The sequence below is a fragment of the Homo sapiens genome, chromosome 12, assembly GCF_000001405.40.
Source record: "Homo sapiens chromosome 12, GRCh38.p14 Primary Assembly".
In the NCBI taxonomy this organism is placed as follows: domain Eukaryota; kingdom Metazoa; phylum Chordata; class Mammalia; order Primates; family Hominidae; genus Homo; species Homo sapiens.
Genome location: NC_000012.12, coordinates 114684177 through 114699613, shown reverse-complemented (window position 1 = coordinate 114699613; position 15437 = coordinate 114684177). Strand labels below are relative to the sequence as shown.

Here is a 15437-nt window from a genome sequence, read left to right as displayed (position 1 = left end):
TCTACTAAAAATACAAAAAATTAGCAGCCAGGCATGGTGGTACGTGGCTGTAATCCCAGCTATTCGGGAGGCTGAGGCAGGAGAATTGCTAGCATTTGGGAGGCAGAGGTTGCAGTGAGCAGAGATCATGCCACTGCACTCCAGCCTGGGCAACAGAGTGAGACTCGGTCTCAAAAAAAAAGGCCTTGAAAAAAATTGGGTTTAGGATTTGTGCCTGCCCTCCCTTCCCCCAACAGAGCTGCTTCTGACGAAAACACCCGATCACCCGGATCTTCAGTGCCTTAGTTGACGCGGGAGAGCTTGAGAAGAAATGTTAGATGAGAACACCGCAGGTACTCAATAATTGCTCCTGTGTTGCAGGTCTGCCTTAATTCTAAATCTCCGTGGAGTGAGGACACAGGTCGCCATTACCAAGCCCTTTCAAAGCCCTGAATGATCTCAGAGGGTTCTAACCGCCTTGGAGAGGGTGAATCCAAGGTGACCCAAGGGTGAAGAACCTATCCAGCAACACACCTCAGGCCTCTGGGCTCCAAAGCCAGGGCTCATTTCCATCCTTTCCCCCTAAGTCAAGGATTCCCGACATCCCGAAACCACCCAGCCCCAGGTGCTGCCAGGCTGAGGTTGAGGCTTTAGAAAGAGCAACCTCAGGGAGGAGAGTTTGGAGAGGGCCGCTGCTGGGGTGAGGGGAGGAGCGCCTGCAGGTAGGAAACCTGGACAAAGTTCAGCAGAGAACCAGGGAGGGGGAAGGGGGACGGTGATGGTGAAAACTGGGGAAAAAAAGAGAGAAGTGAGGAGAGAGAGAGGGAGAGAGGGAGAGAGGTCAGGAGAGGGAGAGATGGAGAGGGGAAGGGGGAGAGGGAGAGAGAGAAAAGGAGAGAAAGAGAAAGGGAGAGAGAGGGAGATAGGGAGAAAGGAAGGGGGAGATAGAAAGGGAGGGAGAAGGGGAAAGGGGAAGAGAGAGAGAAAGGGAGATGGAGAGAGAGGAGGGAAAGGAAGGGGGAGAGAGGAGAGAAGAGGAGAGGAGAGAAGAGAAGAGAAAAAAGAAAGAAAAGAAGAGAGGAAACATGACGGACGCTAGAGCTCGCGAGAGCGCCTGGGTCTGCTCTGCGCGCAGGGTGCCGGGCTCAGGACGCCTAGGCGTCCAAGCTGTGTTCCCCACCGCGCCCCACTCCGCCCAAGGGGAGAGCCCCACGGACCATTGTGGCTTGCACAAAACCCGCGCCCCAAGAGCCTCTGCCAGGCCGCTGGGACTTGATTCATTTCTTGACTAATTAACTGGAAGCTATGTCGCCCCTTCTTTCAGGGCCCAATTAATTCGCCGCGGGCGGTGGGGCGGAGGCTGTGCCGCGGAGGCGCCCGCCTGGAGCCCCTTTGTGAAGGGCTGTCTGGGCCGTATTGATTCTAGACACACATGCGTGCGCATACACACACACACACGCACACACACTCACACACACGCGCGCGCGCGCGCGCACTTTCCCCTCGTTCCTTCGTACTGAAAAAAGAGGGGGCGGTAAAGATCTGGATTTCCAGAGTTTAAGAAGGTTTTTGTCAGACTCGCACTCCCCACCCACCAATTGCATTTGCTTCCAGAAGGAAGGGACCAAAGAATACAGGCAGTTTTCAAATCTGCGCGGGGAAAGGGTTAGATGGAATTTCTCTTCCTAAAGGGCGAAGATATAAAGAAAACAGATCGCTACTGTGTACCCACTGTGTGCGTGTATCGGACTCCTACTGTTTTGCTGTTAAAAGTCGGACTCGAGTTAGACAAGCCCCAGGGTAAATTCCAGCTCCCCAAAACACTGGCTGTGCGACTTCGGGCAAGCCTCTGTCTTTCTCTGCGTGTCTCTGTTTCCTCGTCTGGAAAGTGGAGATCACTGAGAAGGCTCCTGCCTCATTAGATTATTGTAGTTGATGAGCCGATGTGTGGGAGAACTCTTAGAACATTGTCATCTTCCTGAGTATTTCACAAATGTTCTCGCCAATAAATCGCATTTTATAAGAAACTCATTTCTCAGGTGAGGAACCCGGAGCTAAGGGGTGTGGCCCCGCTGCGCAATGACCCGGGCGTCTGATTCCAAGGCCGAGAAGTTCAAGAACGAAATCTACTAGGGAGCTCTGATGATTTCACCACTCGGTGGTATGGGCTACACCAGTTGGGTGGAAGTGGGGGTGGGGGCGCTCTCCGGGCCCGGTGTACCCCTAGGCTCATCTGAATGGGCCTTGAGGCTTCTTCCTACCCACCCACCGCCATCCTCCGTCCAGTTCCATAATGACAGCGAGGAGGCAGAAACCCTAAATCCTGAAACATTTTGAGTGGAACCCAGCACGCAGGAACCTGCGAGATTCTTCCGTTTCGTCGAGGTCCGCATCGATTGTATTGACCTCCCCGTGGGCCAGCTTGTCTCCTTCATCGATCAGCCGAACGAAGTCTAGGACAGAACTGTAGACCAAAGGAAATCGCAGGCGTCTTTGCAAAGCTGGTGGGAAGTAACCCAGCGGCTGCTGGAAAACGAATGGGTGACCTAAGCCGGTTCCACCCCCTCCCAGGGCGTCGGCAAAAGGAGCTTCTCACCCCACTGCCTCTTATTCGATCACTAATTCATTTTTTAGTTTGGTTCTGTTTTTAAAACAAAAATTAAAGAAAAAATAGTTTATTTGGTCAATCAACAAACATTTGATGAACACACTGCATGTGCCAGAGACTACGGTGAGCATTGGGGTACTAGCGGTGGGGAGAAGTCTGTACAGAAGCATAAAACCCTGGCGGCGGGGGAGGGGTTATGGAAACCTCTTTACTGTCAATTTTTAACAATGTGAAGGCGCAAGACTCCCTAGTTGTCTATCCCAAAGTTTTCTGTTTGTGCAGAGCGGCAGTACTACCCACTTGTAGGCAAGGTGTGTGCTCTGAGTGCAAGAAACGGACCGGAGAGTTTAGAAGTTAGGGCCTTTGAGCTGGGAGCTGGGGTGAGCAGATCCGGGAAAGTCTTTTGCGGGACAGCGGCTGGGTGTTAAGCTCCAGCTCCCGCGCACGCCTGGCGCCCGCGGTGACCTCCGCCAACCAGGTCAGTAACGCTGTCTGGGTTTCCAAGGCTCCCAGGAGCAAAAAAATCACCCAGCCCTACCTCTCCACAGCGCGTGGAAGAGCTAAGGCTGATTGAGTTTGACCTTTCTGTCCAGAGATCTTGAAATTAAGCCCTCTCCTGTCCCACTCTTCGTGGGCCTCGATTTTCCTCATCTTCAAAATGGGAATAATAATATATTTTTACCGGAGTGAACAAAACTCAGGACCATAAGCATTAAGCTGGAAGGGACCCATCTTTTATTCACTCCCTTGTCTCCAATACTTTGAAGACTATCTGGCACCTAGAAGACTCTCAATAAATATCTGTTCAATGATGGAGTGGAATTTTCTATCCATTATACCAAACCTCTCTTCCCACTACCATCTTAGAATAAGTCTGCTTTTCACTATCTTATTTTATATATCAGAATCCGTTTGGGAGAGCAGCTAACAAATTGAATACTGGTTCTTTAAAAATGCACTTTGGAAGTGGTTATTTGTTTTACAAATGCAGAGAAAATGCCCCTTTTAGTCTCCTTCTCTCCCTTTCTTTCTTGACTTTCATTCCTGTATTGAATTATTATTTATTGAGCAGCCATTAGCTATGAGCACTGTGATCGGAGCTGGAGAGATGAGGAACCCTATCTCTTACAAAATAGGAAACCTAATTTTAGACACTCCTGCACAGACCGTGTAGCCTATTAACTTTATTTGGCTATAGTTAGTAGTCTTTTTTCTTTGCTGCCTAGCTCTTTAACTTTTGACAAGATCATAAAGGTGAGGGCATTGCTTGGTACACAATAGGAGCTCAATAAGTGTTGGATGAATTTATTCTTCCTAATATTGTAGCCCACAGCTCCACTCTCAGCTGAGGTCTTAATCGCCTTGACAGAGAATCTTTCAAATGACTACTGAAGCCAGTAATACAATGGACTGAGCAGTCCTCTAAGAGGTCCTATGCCCATGAGATTAGATTAGATTAGAACACAGTCCTGTGTTTCCAATTCCAGATACAATTCAGATTGGTTCCGGGGTAAGGTCAGCCACTCCAATTTCTAACGAGTGGACCAGGGCTGGGCAGGCACCAGATTGGCCTTTGCAAAAAGGGATGTGGGGCCCTGAGGTTCCTAAAACCATGTACCCTTTGCAGATCTCCACACTTGTCTGGCTGTGGTCCTTTCCAGACCACTCTCCCGCAAAACACACACACACATACACACACACTCACACTCACTCAACACCTTTCCCGGTAAACAGAAGTTAATGCAGTGCAGGCAGAGCTTTAGAAATGAGATGCTAGTTTGCACTGAGAACCCTCTTCCCCCACTTCCTGGCTTGCACCTAACTTCTCTTGCGCCAGCTCCCACATTTGGCAGATTCCAGGTGGCCCTCTCCTGCCCCAGCCTCCAGGAGCAGTTTCGGCCTCCTGGTATATCTGGAATTGCCACCGCAGAGGCTCAAAACCGAGGCCTCATCCCAACCCAACCAGTTGGCCAGGCCCTCTGGGGCACACAGAGGACACTGTCCACCAGCCAAGTCTTCCCTAAGGGCCATCCAGTGGAGACTGCAAGGGCACCTTCTGCAGGGGTTCCCGATGAGCCTCTCCAGAAGCGAAGAGCAGAGGTTTCCAAGTGGGAAGCAATCCACTCCTTCTCTACCCCTGCAAATTGGGGCACCTCCATCTCCAGCCTGGGTCCTGTACTTCCTTCTCTGCTTCAGACTGATTCAGATTCACCTAGTGTTCAATTAGCCACTTTTATTTATGCGCAACATGTGCACTGGACTGGGAAGTTTTTTAAAGAGAGAGAGAAAAAGTGTTTTTACTACCACTGCCTGGAAACTTTCCTGTGGCAGCTGAGGGGTTCATCCTGGGCTGGGTGACGCTTGCAGCTCCGTGGACATGTTAAGTCCTGTCTTACTAATTCTACACCTATGCCCTTATTCTGACTGGAATCAGGCGCCTTAACTTCCTGTCTTTGCATGCAATACAGGCTGTTCAGCTTCTTCCCTGAGGCCCCATGGGTGCCAATCCCCCTGGTAATGGGTCTCCTGAGTAGCAACTTAGTCTGCAACAAATCCTAAATGGAAAGAGAGAAAAACGCCCTCTTCATGTGCCCAGAATGTTATCGCTAATTTTTTGGAAAAGTGCCTGTGTACACACATATTATATCTATTATTGAGTGGGTTAGTGGGAGACTAAAAACACCGAACAACAGTTGTGGTGTGTGTGTGGGGGGTGGGGAGTATATTCTCCAATTCCCTGGTAATTTGTAACAGACAGATTTTATTGCTGCAAGAGAAAAGGAGTAACTGTGTAGCTGCAAAACAAATTTAGTTCCGTCTATATTGATGAAACAGGAGTCTGCCCATGGGGTGTGATTGTGATGCATTTCTAAAATCTGAGATTTAATGTTATATTCTGGGCTACTTGTAATGTCCATATACACACTGGTACCCACAAAGAACAGTTTAGAAATACACATGCATATTCTTTGACATTTAAATAACGCAGTGGGAGATGGGCTTAAGGTTGGACCTATACACGACTCAGTAAGCTCTCTAAACGTTAGGAAGATCTAAACTGAAGCACTAGAAAGGTCTGTGACTCTGTTCTTCCTAGCAAGCCAGCCTCACCTCCCCTTCAGATTCCATCTATAGCAATCTTCTTGTATCCCTACCAGAGGGGATTTCTTTTGCATTTTACTCCTGCCTCACCCAATCTCCCCAACTCAGAAACTTCATAATTCAACTGCAATATCCCTGTTTTACAGAAGTCTGCTCCACTCCCTTAAAAAAAAATCATACGTCGAAGTCAAAAGGTCTTTCACTGACTCCAACAATTCTCAAATTCTAGATGGAGACATGCGATGAAGGAGCCTGTCCTGGTTGTATTCACTGCATTAATACGCACACATAAAAGTGAATGCAACATCGTATTTTAACTTCTCTGATAGAAAAATCCCAACTGTGCCATACCGTCCTTCCTCCTCTCCCTGTTCTCAAAAGAATTAGAGTCCCAGGAAGTGGGGAAAGGGTGGGGGGTGGGGGTCGGGCAATGAAGTTGCTTGGAAAGGAAGAAAACAATAATTCGAGGCACTATTTACACCTGCAAACTTTGGATGGCTGTATTCGGCCCCAATTGGCTTAACTGTAAATCTTTTCCGCATGGCCCCAACTCCTGGCCTGAGCGTCTGGGTTTAATAATGCCCCTCGGCACCCCAGCAGGGCCAGGCTGAAAAGAGAGAATCCCCCACTCCACCCCCATCCAGCGCAGAGGTCATTAGAGCAGCGCCCCCCACTTCCCCATCCATCCATGCTTGAGGTACCAGACTCAGACATGTGGAGAACTCGTATTTTACCGTCTGAAGACAAGGAAAGCCTTTCAAAAGCAAATGTCCCCCCCACATCAGAAGTGGAAGGAAGTTTCCCCTCCCTCCCAACTCTGCGCGTTTGGCTTGCAAGGGGTGAATGGGAAAGAGGGGTGTCGGCACTAGAAGCCGGAGACAGGCTCCAACTCCCTGGGCTGGCAGCGTAGGGTTGACCTGTTTATAAAACTTGCTGCTAAGAAAACATGTAAAAACACACCCCAGCGGTGGGAGAGGAGAACTCTCCCTCCCCGCAACCCTCCCGGCTTCGCGCACGAAGATTCCCCCGCTCGGCTGCGTTCTCTCTGAGCCTGTTATTCTCCCGAGAGCCATCTCCTTGCAATTGCTTTTCCACCACTTTGGGAGACAGAGAGTCCTACATTTCTCTTTCATTTTTGGTTACTCCTCCCCGCCCCCCACGGCTCCCCGCAAGGTCTTTACCGTCCACTCCCGATGTGTCCTTTGCAAGCGAAGGGAGGGGGGAAGGTAGCAATCAATGCGGCAGCAAAAGACAAATCGGACAGGGTAGGGTGGGAGGTGGAGGTAGGTGAGCGGCTTCTAACTGAATCCCTGCAATCTTGATCTTAGTTCTCAAAAGGAAAAAGACCTGCGCTTCGCTGCCCTGGGTCCGCCGTGCTTTCTTCATCCCCCACCCGGGCAGCCCGCCGCGCCGCGCCGCGCCGCGCCGCGCCCCGCCCCGGTAGCTGGAGAGGGAAGGCAGGTACCCAGCGCAGGGTTACCTGCAGGCGGTTCGCCGGTTCCCGGGCCTGTCGGGACCTTGTCGCGACCGAGAGCTGGGGAAGGACAGCCTGTCCGAGACCTCTTTGCTCTCCTGCGGGCCTGTGCAGCGTTTGGGGCAAGATCCGAGCCCTGTCACCCCCTTCCACCCTTGGGTGAGAGTAGAATCCGAGGCCGTGAGCTGCTTCTCCGGTTCCGTGCTCAGCGAGGCCTGGATCCGCACCGAGGCGCGTCCAGCTTACGTATTTGCAACAGGGGTAAGGGGTGGGGTGGGGGATCTAGGTGAAGCCCCCCGGGGCAGAAACATGGCCAAAAGGACCTTATGGGACGCTCTGGGCTGTCGCTCACTCCCAACTCCTTCCTGGGGCTCGAAATCTTCCTTTCCCAAGCGAAAGGAGGAAAGGGCGCTGCGAGGGAAGACAGAGGGCAGGTTCCCGATCCAGGAAGGCCGGTCCTCTCCACTCGCCTGGAGGATTTTTAGTATCTGGTTCAGAGATGAAATGAATTGAGGCCCGGGCGCCAGTAAAAGCAACTACTAGGAAAGGCACTTTCACAATTCCAAACATTTTCTCTCTTTCTGCGTGTGTGTGTGTGTGTGTGTGTGTGTGTGAGCGCGCGCGTGCGCCTTCCTCATTCCCCTTCCTCTAAAATAAAAAAATTTTTGAAAGGAAGAGAAAACAAACTTATCTAGCCCTCATTATTCAAACCCCAAGCTAAAGACTTTTAAGGGCTTCTGGGATCTCTCGGGCCACAACCTTCACCTAACCCTTTATTCGGAATGGGAGAGGGAATAGTCTCTCCAGTCGGCACTAATCGGTCCCTGGATATCATACAAGACTTGGGACATTTTAAAATATGTAGAATTTGTTTGTATTATTTGGAGCCGGGATGATTGATTTGGGAGGGACACATCCCAACTCAAAATACAGTCACATTGTTGAGGCCTCTAGTTTCTTTTGCTGACGTGGAAGGAGGAGGAGGCTACGCAGAGTGTCATGAAATTAAGACCGACACCCTGCAGCTACTCTTCTGCCCAGTGGTCTGTGTGGCCATGGTACAAAGTCAGTGATCATAGAAGGTGGAGGGGGTTGGAGGGCTGGTGCTCAGCTCAAGTTTGTGTGAAGTGAGTTTGGCCAGAGAGTTTGCCTGGTTGTGAGACCACTGCTCGGTGACAGGGCAGGCCTGGGGTCAAGATCCTGAATCCAGGACCTACATCCTGACCTTGGCAGCAGATTTTCACGTCTTCTATTTGCCTGGCACCCCCCAGAGAAGCAAGATCACCACCCTGTGTTCTAGGACCAAAACAGGATAACTGCACAGAAGGCTAGATTTTTTCCATAGGGGCATGTTACAGCAGGAGGGATTGCATCTGTTTTCAGTGCAACAGTAAAACCTGGAACCCTTCAAGTGCTCACACTACCCCAATTCCTGTGCCCATCTCGAGAAGGTAAATCCTTCCCTCAAGCCTTAAGTGCCCCCAGGACAGCTTCATCTCTAGGGGGCATCAGTAGGTATGATGTTATCACCTTCCTTCTCTCCTCACCCTAACTGGATTTTCAAGACATGAAAACATTTGCTTTGGGAACACGGGTGTGCTGGGTGGCTGGCAAGAAGTGGAGGGAAGGTTGCAAGAAGGAAATGGAAAGAAGAGGGAGGAAAAACACACATGACAACTCTGTGCCCACGGCTCCCTTTCATTTGCATCCTGCTTGGAAATAAATGAACCCCCAAACACCAGTGAACTTTCTACTCTCACTCTCTTTAATTGAAACCCAGTACGGGAAATAGTAATGGATATTGTGCTCAAATTGAGAAAACGTGTCTGGGGCTACGAGGGGAGAGTTAGTTCAGCAGATTTGGAGGAGCTGATCTTTCTTTGGCCTGTCAACCTTCCTGACAGTGTGGTCATTTAATTTGCTATGCCCTCTTGCTTACAGATCTTCCTGTGCCCTCTGCCACATATGCTCCCCCAGGGCGAAACCCCACTCTGCCCCACAACCCTGCCACCTAACAACACTACCAATGATAAGGGAAAGAATGAAACAGTAGCAAACCACAGAAGTAAATTCTCCCATTTGAATGTCACCCTCCGTCTGCATGAGAGGACTGTTAAATTTCTCCTCCACCCTCTTAAAGTATTCTGTCACTTAGTCCCTCTACCCTACAAGTAAAATTTTGATACAAACCTCTGAGAGGCCACTTATACCCTTACCTGTCTCGACTGAAAATCTAGAAAGAGGATGTTGAAGAAAGAAAGGTGCTGGGTGGTCAAAAGTGCCTGGGGCAAAAGTCAGCTCTGGCCTGTGTCTTGGTGGTTCTGGGTCAGATAAAATGAGAGAAAAAATTCCTGGCCCCTTCCTTGTGAATTCATTTCTGCTGGCCTAATAATGCCCATTGCATTATCTTTTTTTTTAAAGTAATTAGGTAAAACACACACACACACACACACACACAAAGAGAAGGTTGAAGATATAGATTGACTTGAAATTAGGAAACCACAATTGGTTCCCTTTCCTGAGAGAGGAAAAAACCTTCACAGATGTAGAAAAAGCACTCTCCCCAGACACACACACATCCTTCAATCTTACCTCTCTCATTTCCCTTCTAACTTATCTAAATCACTGGCTGTGTACAAATTTGCCATTTTGCAGGGTGATCAGCTTTGAGGAAAGGTAGGTGCTAATAAGAATAATATGGAGGGCAAAATGTTTTCATTTTGCCTCTGCCAAAAACATATTTACATTAAGGAGGTATGATGAGCATGGATTAAGTGCATAGCGAATGATGCTCTAGAAACGGCATAAACCAACTGGCAACAAACTGAGCCTCTGTACTAAAAATATTGCTTCTCCAAGCTAGACAACTTTCAGTCTTCTCTCTCTGAAACATGCTACAGACGCTTGCACCAAATTGCCCAGATCAATAATTTAGAGGAATGTCAGAGGATAGGGGAAATGTGTGTTACAGGAAAGCTCCGTGCTGCTGGGGCAAGTAGGAAGCTGGGAGCTGGGGGCTATAGAGCTCCCCACCCTAGGTTCCTAGGTTAACTTGCAGCTCCTCACCCTAGGTTCCTGCTCTGGAAAAGATGGGGAGGTGGCCTTAGAGCTTAGGGAGCAAAGATGGGGTTCAACTCTGGAGAAAGGGGTGGCTTTGGAAATGCCAAGAGGAGAAGGTAAAACTGCCACTCTAGGCAAATGCACACAATGTTTTTCTATCTCTCAAGATACTTTATCTTTCTAGTCAAGGAAGAGAGGGGAAGGTGTTTGCTTCAGCCCCAGGAAGAGGGATCTCCAGGCTGTCATGGTTGCTGGGAAAGATGAGGGAGGGAAAGGGGGCAGAGTACGGAGGCACCAGGTCAGAAAGACAGGAGAGAATTCAGACAGGACCAAAACAGCCAGAAAAAATAGGATAAAGAAGGTAGAAAAAAAAAAAAAACAAAACAAAACATGAGAAGTTAAAGCCTGGGAAATAGATACAAGACAAGAAAGAGAAATAGAAACCAAGAACAAGATTGATGAAAGGAGGAGAAGAGAAAGTAGAAGGAAAAAGAATAAGAAAGATTCCAGACACGCATTCAAATAATCCTAAATGGGGATGAGCAGAAAGACAAGGAGACCAAAAGAAAAGGGGGGGGGGGGGTGGTGGGGAGGAGAAAGAAAGGAATGGAAAAAGAAACAAAAGGTGAATGTCCTGCCCTGTCTGTCTGGTCCAACCAAGAAGCTAGTGTCTGCCCTGGAGGGAGGAAAGGTGGGGGAGTCCAGCCTGTCTCCAAGGGACTGACAGGCAGCTTCTGGACCAGAGAGGAACTAAGCTCTCAAAGCAAGCTTTGGGGAGGAGGAAGGGATGGGGGTGCATGGTGAGTGGAGACTCCTGGAGGAAGAGCAAGCCTCCACTGGGTTCAGCACTGCCAGGGGGAGAGTCAGGGTTCAGGGTAGCATAGCAGTGCTAATGTATGTACCCCAGAGGGGTAGGGGGTGCTAGGGCAATTTGCAGGAGGACCACAAACAGTAAACTAGAGAGCTACTTCCCTGGGATCCGTGATAAGAAAATCACTTCCTCAGGTGGGAGAATTGAGCCCGAAAGAGAATGGGAGCCCTTGGGGGGCAGGCACCTGGTCAGTTTCAAAGCTCGTCAATATCAAAAGAGGCTGGGATCCTGAGATCAAATGGGCTGGGGCACTGGGCAGAAACGAGGAGCCATTGCCAAACTGCCAGGATGACCAGAACGCCCCTCCCCCAGGAAAAGTTCATATATGAACCCACCCCTGTATGAAACTTCTTAATTAGGTCTCATACCCCCGGTGAATCTTGGATGCCCTTCTGTCAACAGAATTCCCAATTTAGTGACACCTCGGACTGAAAAGAGCTCTGCGGCAAACGGGGGTGAAAGTTTAAGAGGGAATAAGCATATAATACTCCCTTGCCAGACCTCACACATGCTGAAGGGAATATTTACAGCAAACTGGCCAAAGCAAACGACCCCGCCTACCCACCATCCTTTTACCCTCCTCCCCGCCCTTTTTGTAAACTCCAGATAAACACCATTTGATCACAAAAGGGTCGGTTTGTCCCCTTTATAGTTTGAGGCAGGCAGTGCGGCAGGGAAAAGTGGCGTGGGCTAAGCTTCCGTCTCGGGCAAGGCCAGCTTCTTTGCTGGCACCGTGGCCTGGGCTAAGGACAGTTGATTTGGTTTTGTTTCCCCCGACCCCCACCCCGACCCCACCCCCACAAAGGAACATTATTTTCAGGGTCCTCCCCCCACCCAGCTTTAACACTCGCCTACTTGCACCCGCACTACTTTAAATGCTGCGGGCATTGCAGATAGAGAGGTTTTTCAGTTAATTTACTTTTTTAATTCTAGAGCTACAATTAAGTGAAAACTCTTTTTGCGAAAAGGTGGAGGAATATTTCAGAGACGCCAGAAATTATCTGGGTCTTTTCTGACCCGGAATCTGCCCTCTTTCTCCCTTCTCCTCCCCTTAAGTCACCCTTTTCTGGGACTCTGTTGAAGGGCAGGCTCTTTCAACGTCTCTAGTCTGTCTTTTGTTGAGTGTGAGACCGAAGGAAAGAGGATCGAGGGGTCTGCAGAGAGAAAAAGACCGCAGATAGCCGGCAGCTGGCGCCTAATGCCGGGGTCCGGGGAGCGCTGGCCTCGTGGGTTCTCCTGGAGGCCAGGCCCAGCACAAGCCTTCGGAACACGCTGGCCAATGTTTAACCCGAATGCAGTGGCCACCAGGCCGCTTTTGTTTGTTCGCAAATTAATCACCCAGCGCATGGCCGGCGCCAGAGTGGGTTTATCACCCACCGGGAGGGGGGCGCGCCGGGCACGCAGAGACAAAGAGGAGTTCGCACCTTCCCGCTTTTGATCCCAGAATTACGGCGGCCTCCCTGCCTAATACGAGCCTCCTGGGGCCGAGTCTGGGAGGTCAGTCATAATTGGCGGAAGTTTGCAGACCATTAGCAAGATGTCGACATTTTCGATTCGAACCCCGCAAACTTTCCTCTCGTTCTCTGCTTCGCGCGCTGGAGGTTGGTGTGGGAGAGGAGATGGGGGTCAGAAGTAGCGATCTGGGGTGATCACAGGGTTAAGTTAGAGCTATGGGCAAAAAATAGGCAATTGAGGGAGGAGGACAGTGTGAGGGGCAGAACTCCCTCTCAGTCCACCCGCGGAGCCAAAAACAAATCTAGACATTTTTAAGTAAAATCCGCAAGCTCCCCTCCCATTTCCAAAGCTGACAGCTGGCCAGAATGCAGAGGAATGTCTCTCTGCTGTGCGTGGGACGCTTGGGGGCACCGAGTGGGTGAGGAGGAGGTCGGTCACAGTGTGGTTGTAGAACTACTTTGCTTCCACCCCAAGTAGTGGGGCAGAGATTGGCCTGCGAGGGCAGGCAGGCAAAACCAGATCGCTGGGATTTGGGGCCGCTCTTGAAAGAGCAGCGAAGGGGCCCCAGGCCCCGGAGGCGAGCAGTCTGGGGGAGGGGGTGCACTTTTTTTTTCTATTTCTTTCTTTTCTTTTCTTTTTCTTTTTTTTGGGGCGGGGGTCCCCAGAGACTCATGAAACCCTGCAGTGACTTCCGTGTTCTGTGTAAGGCGGGAAATGGCCTGGCCTTTCGCACCCTTCAGGTGGGGAGGAGGGGATGCGGGAGGGGGTGTTATGAGCCAACACTCTGGGGCACCACCACCTCGTAATTTTCCCTCTCTCTCCTTTCTCTATTTTAACCACTGGCAGAGACAGAGAGGACGCCAGAGAAAGACAGACTGAAAGGGAAAGAAAGGGGCGAGATGGCGAGCCAGACGGAGTTCGCAGAACCACACTATTCTCTCTGGTGACTTCAGGGAATTCTCAACGCTGGCGCCAAGCTCTCTTAACCATGTGCGTCAAAAATGCGAGGCTGGAGAAGCCTGTCGCCTCAAAAGATCCTCCCCTATCTCAGCGTGGTTGGCCCACAAGAGCACTTCATTTTCACCCTTCCCTTGGTGCCACGTTGGGGTTTCGGGGTTGCTGGGGGTTGCGCGGGTGCACAAGGCAAAATGCGAGAGAGGCCTGTGCTGGCCTACAGAGACACACACATCCAAAGCCCTGAGTCTCTTAAACCCCTAAGCCCCCAGATCAGCCCTTTCTCCGTTCCCTTTCCATCGAAGAAGCTTTCATCTCAGGAAAGATAAAAGAACATTGTTTTCAAGATTTCCCTCCATCTAAGCAAGGATGGTCCAAGACATTGGCCCCCAGAATCAAGAACTGTGGGCTTAGGCGAATCCTCTGACCCCGACCGGGCGCTGCGGTAACAGAGTTGGTAATTCGGCGATTGGTAAGATCCGGTCGTTTCCCTCCCGTCCGCCTAAGAGGAGGCCCCCACCCTACCCGTACTAAAAACAGTCAACTCGCCTCTGAGGTGGGGGCGTTTCACGGTTTGTTTTACAAATTCACCCTCCCTCCCCGACTTCTGGCCAGATTAAGTCCCCGGGGTGGAGAAAGAACTGAGGCACCGAGAGATAAGTGCGATGCCTAGAGAAGATACCAGGCTGGCGCGCCTCCCCCAACCCAATCGCCCACCCCTTACCCTGTGCTGTGCACCCAGCCGGGCCTCGAGGTGAGGGCAGCGGCTTGGAGGGGACAGGCTCAGAACCCAGTCTCTCGCTGTGCTCGCTTTGTCCAGATCCTCCATTCTCTTCTCTACACCCACACCCACATCCAGGTGGAATATGGGGGCCCGCATGCAAATGAAAGACGAGATCCAAAAGGGCTGGTAAATGCATTTCATAAAAATCCCAAATCCATCTTCCCCAGGAGCTCAGGCAGGGCCAGCCGCGCAGGCTGTGTACGTGTTTGTGTGTACGTGTTTTTCGGTGTGTGTTTCAGTCCCAGTGTGTTGGCGCGTGTTCGAGTACAGATACACCGGGGGTGTTTGGGTACCCGCACATGGCTGCGGGTGGGGCGCAGTGGAGAGGAAGCCCACACATGCGTGTGCTGAGATATGGCCGCATCCTTGTGCTCCCCCAGCCCAGACGCAGGGGAGACCAGCACCGAGACACCCGAGCTCGGGAGCCCTTCAGCGGCGGCCGGGCGGAGCTTGGCTCCACGTGGGGCTGGAGAGCACGCAAGCCTGGAGTCTCGGCGCTCGCTTCTCGGCTGCCGCCGGCTTTTGTAGAACCGAGTGGCCGGATGGCAGCTCGCGGGGAGGCTCGGCCACCCGCCCGGCTCGCCCGGGGCGGGGAGAAGAAGGAGAGCTGGAGAGAGAACCGGCCGCGGCGGTCGGAGAGGCGAGCGGAGTGCAAGAGAGGCGAGCGCCCCTGCCCGGCGCCCGGGCGCGCTCTCCGCCTTCCCCGCCCGGCTCGCCTGCTCGCTGGCTCCCTCCCTCTCTCCCTCCCCCTTCCTCCTTGGCCCTGCCTCCTCCCTCGATCCCCGGCTGGATGACTGAGGCATTTCAGACGTGGGCTGAACCAGAGCGAGCGAGCGAGCTCAGGGGCTGCAGCGATCTCTCGATAAGCCACCTAGAGGCGACTCTGTGCGCGCGCGCTCCCCAGTGGCTCCCGCCCGCCCTCTGATCATGTTGACATATTCACAGGACAGGCAGTAGTACCGATGCGGCGCTGCGACGTTACAGTTTCCGACACCTTCTTTTTATAACTCAGCTCTATCCCCCAGCACTCGACCTGTGAAAACCACGCCTATGCAGCAACACAATTGGTCCGAAAGCGTCAAAGAGCCAATCAAGAGGCCTCCGGCTCCCCGCAGCCCACAGCGCAGCCCGACCTTCTAGAGCCGCCGAG

General features: G+C 51.4%; 1 long non-coding RNA gene across 1 annotated transcript in view, besides 11 other annotated features; it reads right to left on the bottom strand.

Annotated features, from left to right (window-relative positions):
- TBX3-AS1 (TBX3 antisense RNA 1) overlaps window positions 1-15437 on the bottom strand; it is an 85697-nt gene that overhangs the window by 68375 nt on the left and 1885 nt on the right. The gene's annotated exons all lie outside the window — the stretch shown is intronic.
- Window positions 118-970: an enhancer, noted in NCBI's record as "H3K4me1 hESC enhancer chr12:115136449-115137301 (GRCh37/hg19 assembly coordinates)". NCBI's record gives its function as "activates a minimal SCP1, AML or CMV promoter by ChIP-STARR-seq in naive H9 embryonic stem cells {active_cell/tissue: H9 hESC(naive)}" and the evidence as "EXISTENCE:reporter gene assay evidence [ECO:0000049][PMID:30033119]".
- Window positions 971-1825: an enhancer, noted in NCBI's record as "H3K4me1 hESC enhancer chr12:115135594-115136448 (GRCh37/hg19 assembly coordinates)". NCBI's record gives its function as "activates a minimal SCP1, AML or CMV promoter by ChIP-STARR-seq in primed H9 embryonic stem cells {active_cell/tissue: H9 hESC(primed)}" and the evidence as "EXISTENCE:reporter gene assay evidence [ECO:0000049][PMID:30033119]".
- Window positions 1826-2679: an enhancer, noted in NCBI's record as "H3K4me1 hESC enhancer chr12:115134740-115135593 (GRCh37/hg19 assembly coordinates)". NCBI's record gives its function as "activates a minimal SCP1, AML or CMV promoter by ChIP-STARR-seq in primed H9 embryonic stem cells {active_cell/tissue: H9 hESC(primed)}" and the evidence as "EXISTENCE:reporter gene assay evidence [ECO:0000049][PMID:30033119]".
- Window positions 6476-6770: an enhancer, noted in NCBI's record as "tiled region #166; HepG2 Activating non-DNase unmatched - State 3:PromF". NCBI's record gives its function as "activates a minimal TATA promoter and a strong SV40 promoter by Sharpr-MPRA in HepG2 cells {active_cell/tissue: HepG2}" and the evidence as "EXISTENCE:reporter gene assay evidence [ECO:0000049][PMID:27701403]".
- Window positions 11914-12764: an enhancer, noted in NCBI's record as "H3K4me1 hESC enhancer chr12:115124655-115125505 (GRCh37/hg19 assembly coordinates)". NCBI's record gives its function as "activates a minimal SCP1, AML or CMV promoter by ChIP-STARR-seq in naive H9 embryonic stem cells {active_cell/tissue: H9 hESC(naive)}" and the evidence as "EXISTENCE:reporter gene assay evidence [ECO:0000049][PMID:30033119]".
- Window positions 11914-13617: a biological region, named in NCBI's record as "VISTA enhancer hs483".
- Window positions 12119-13025: an enhancer, noted in NCBI's record as "VISTA enhancer hs483". NCBI's record gives its function as "enhancer in: limb[5/9]" and the evidence as "EXISTENCE:transgenic organism evidence [ECO:0001131][PMID:17130149]".
- Window positions 12765-13617: an enhancer, noted in NCBI's record as "H3K4me1 hESC enhancer chr12:115123802-115124654 (GRCh37/hg19 assembly coordinates)". NCBI's record gives its function as "activates a minimal SCP1, AML or CMV promoter by ChIP-STARR-seq in naive H9 embryonic stem cells {active_cell/tissue: H9 hESC(naive)}" and the evidence as "EXISTENCE:reporter gene assay evidence [ECO:0000049][PMID:30033119]".
- Window positions 14928-15437: a promoter, noted in NCBI's record as "S-Tbx3 promoter fragment". NCBI's record gives the evidence for it as "EXISTENCE:reporter gene assay evidence [ECO:0000049][PMID:17283120]".
- Window positions 15073-15095: a protein binding site, noted in NCBI's record as "AP1 -371/-367 site". NCBI's record gives the evidence for it as "EXISTENCE:protein binding evidence [ECO:0000024][PMID:17283120]".
- Window positions 15365-15386: a protein binding site, noted in NCBI's record as "CCAAT -81/-63 site". NCBI's record gives the evidence for it as "EXISTENCE:protein binding evidence [ECO:0000024][PMID:21784138]".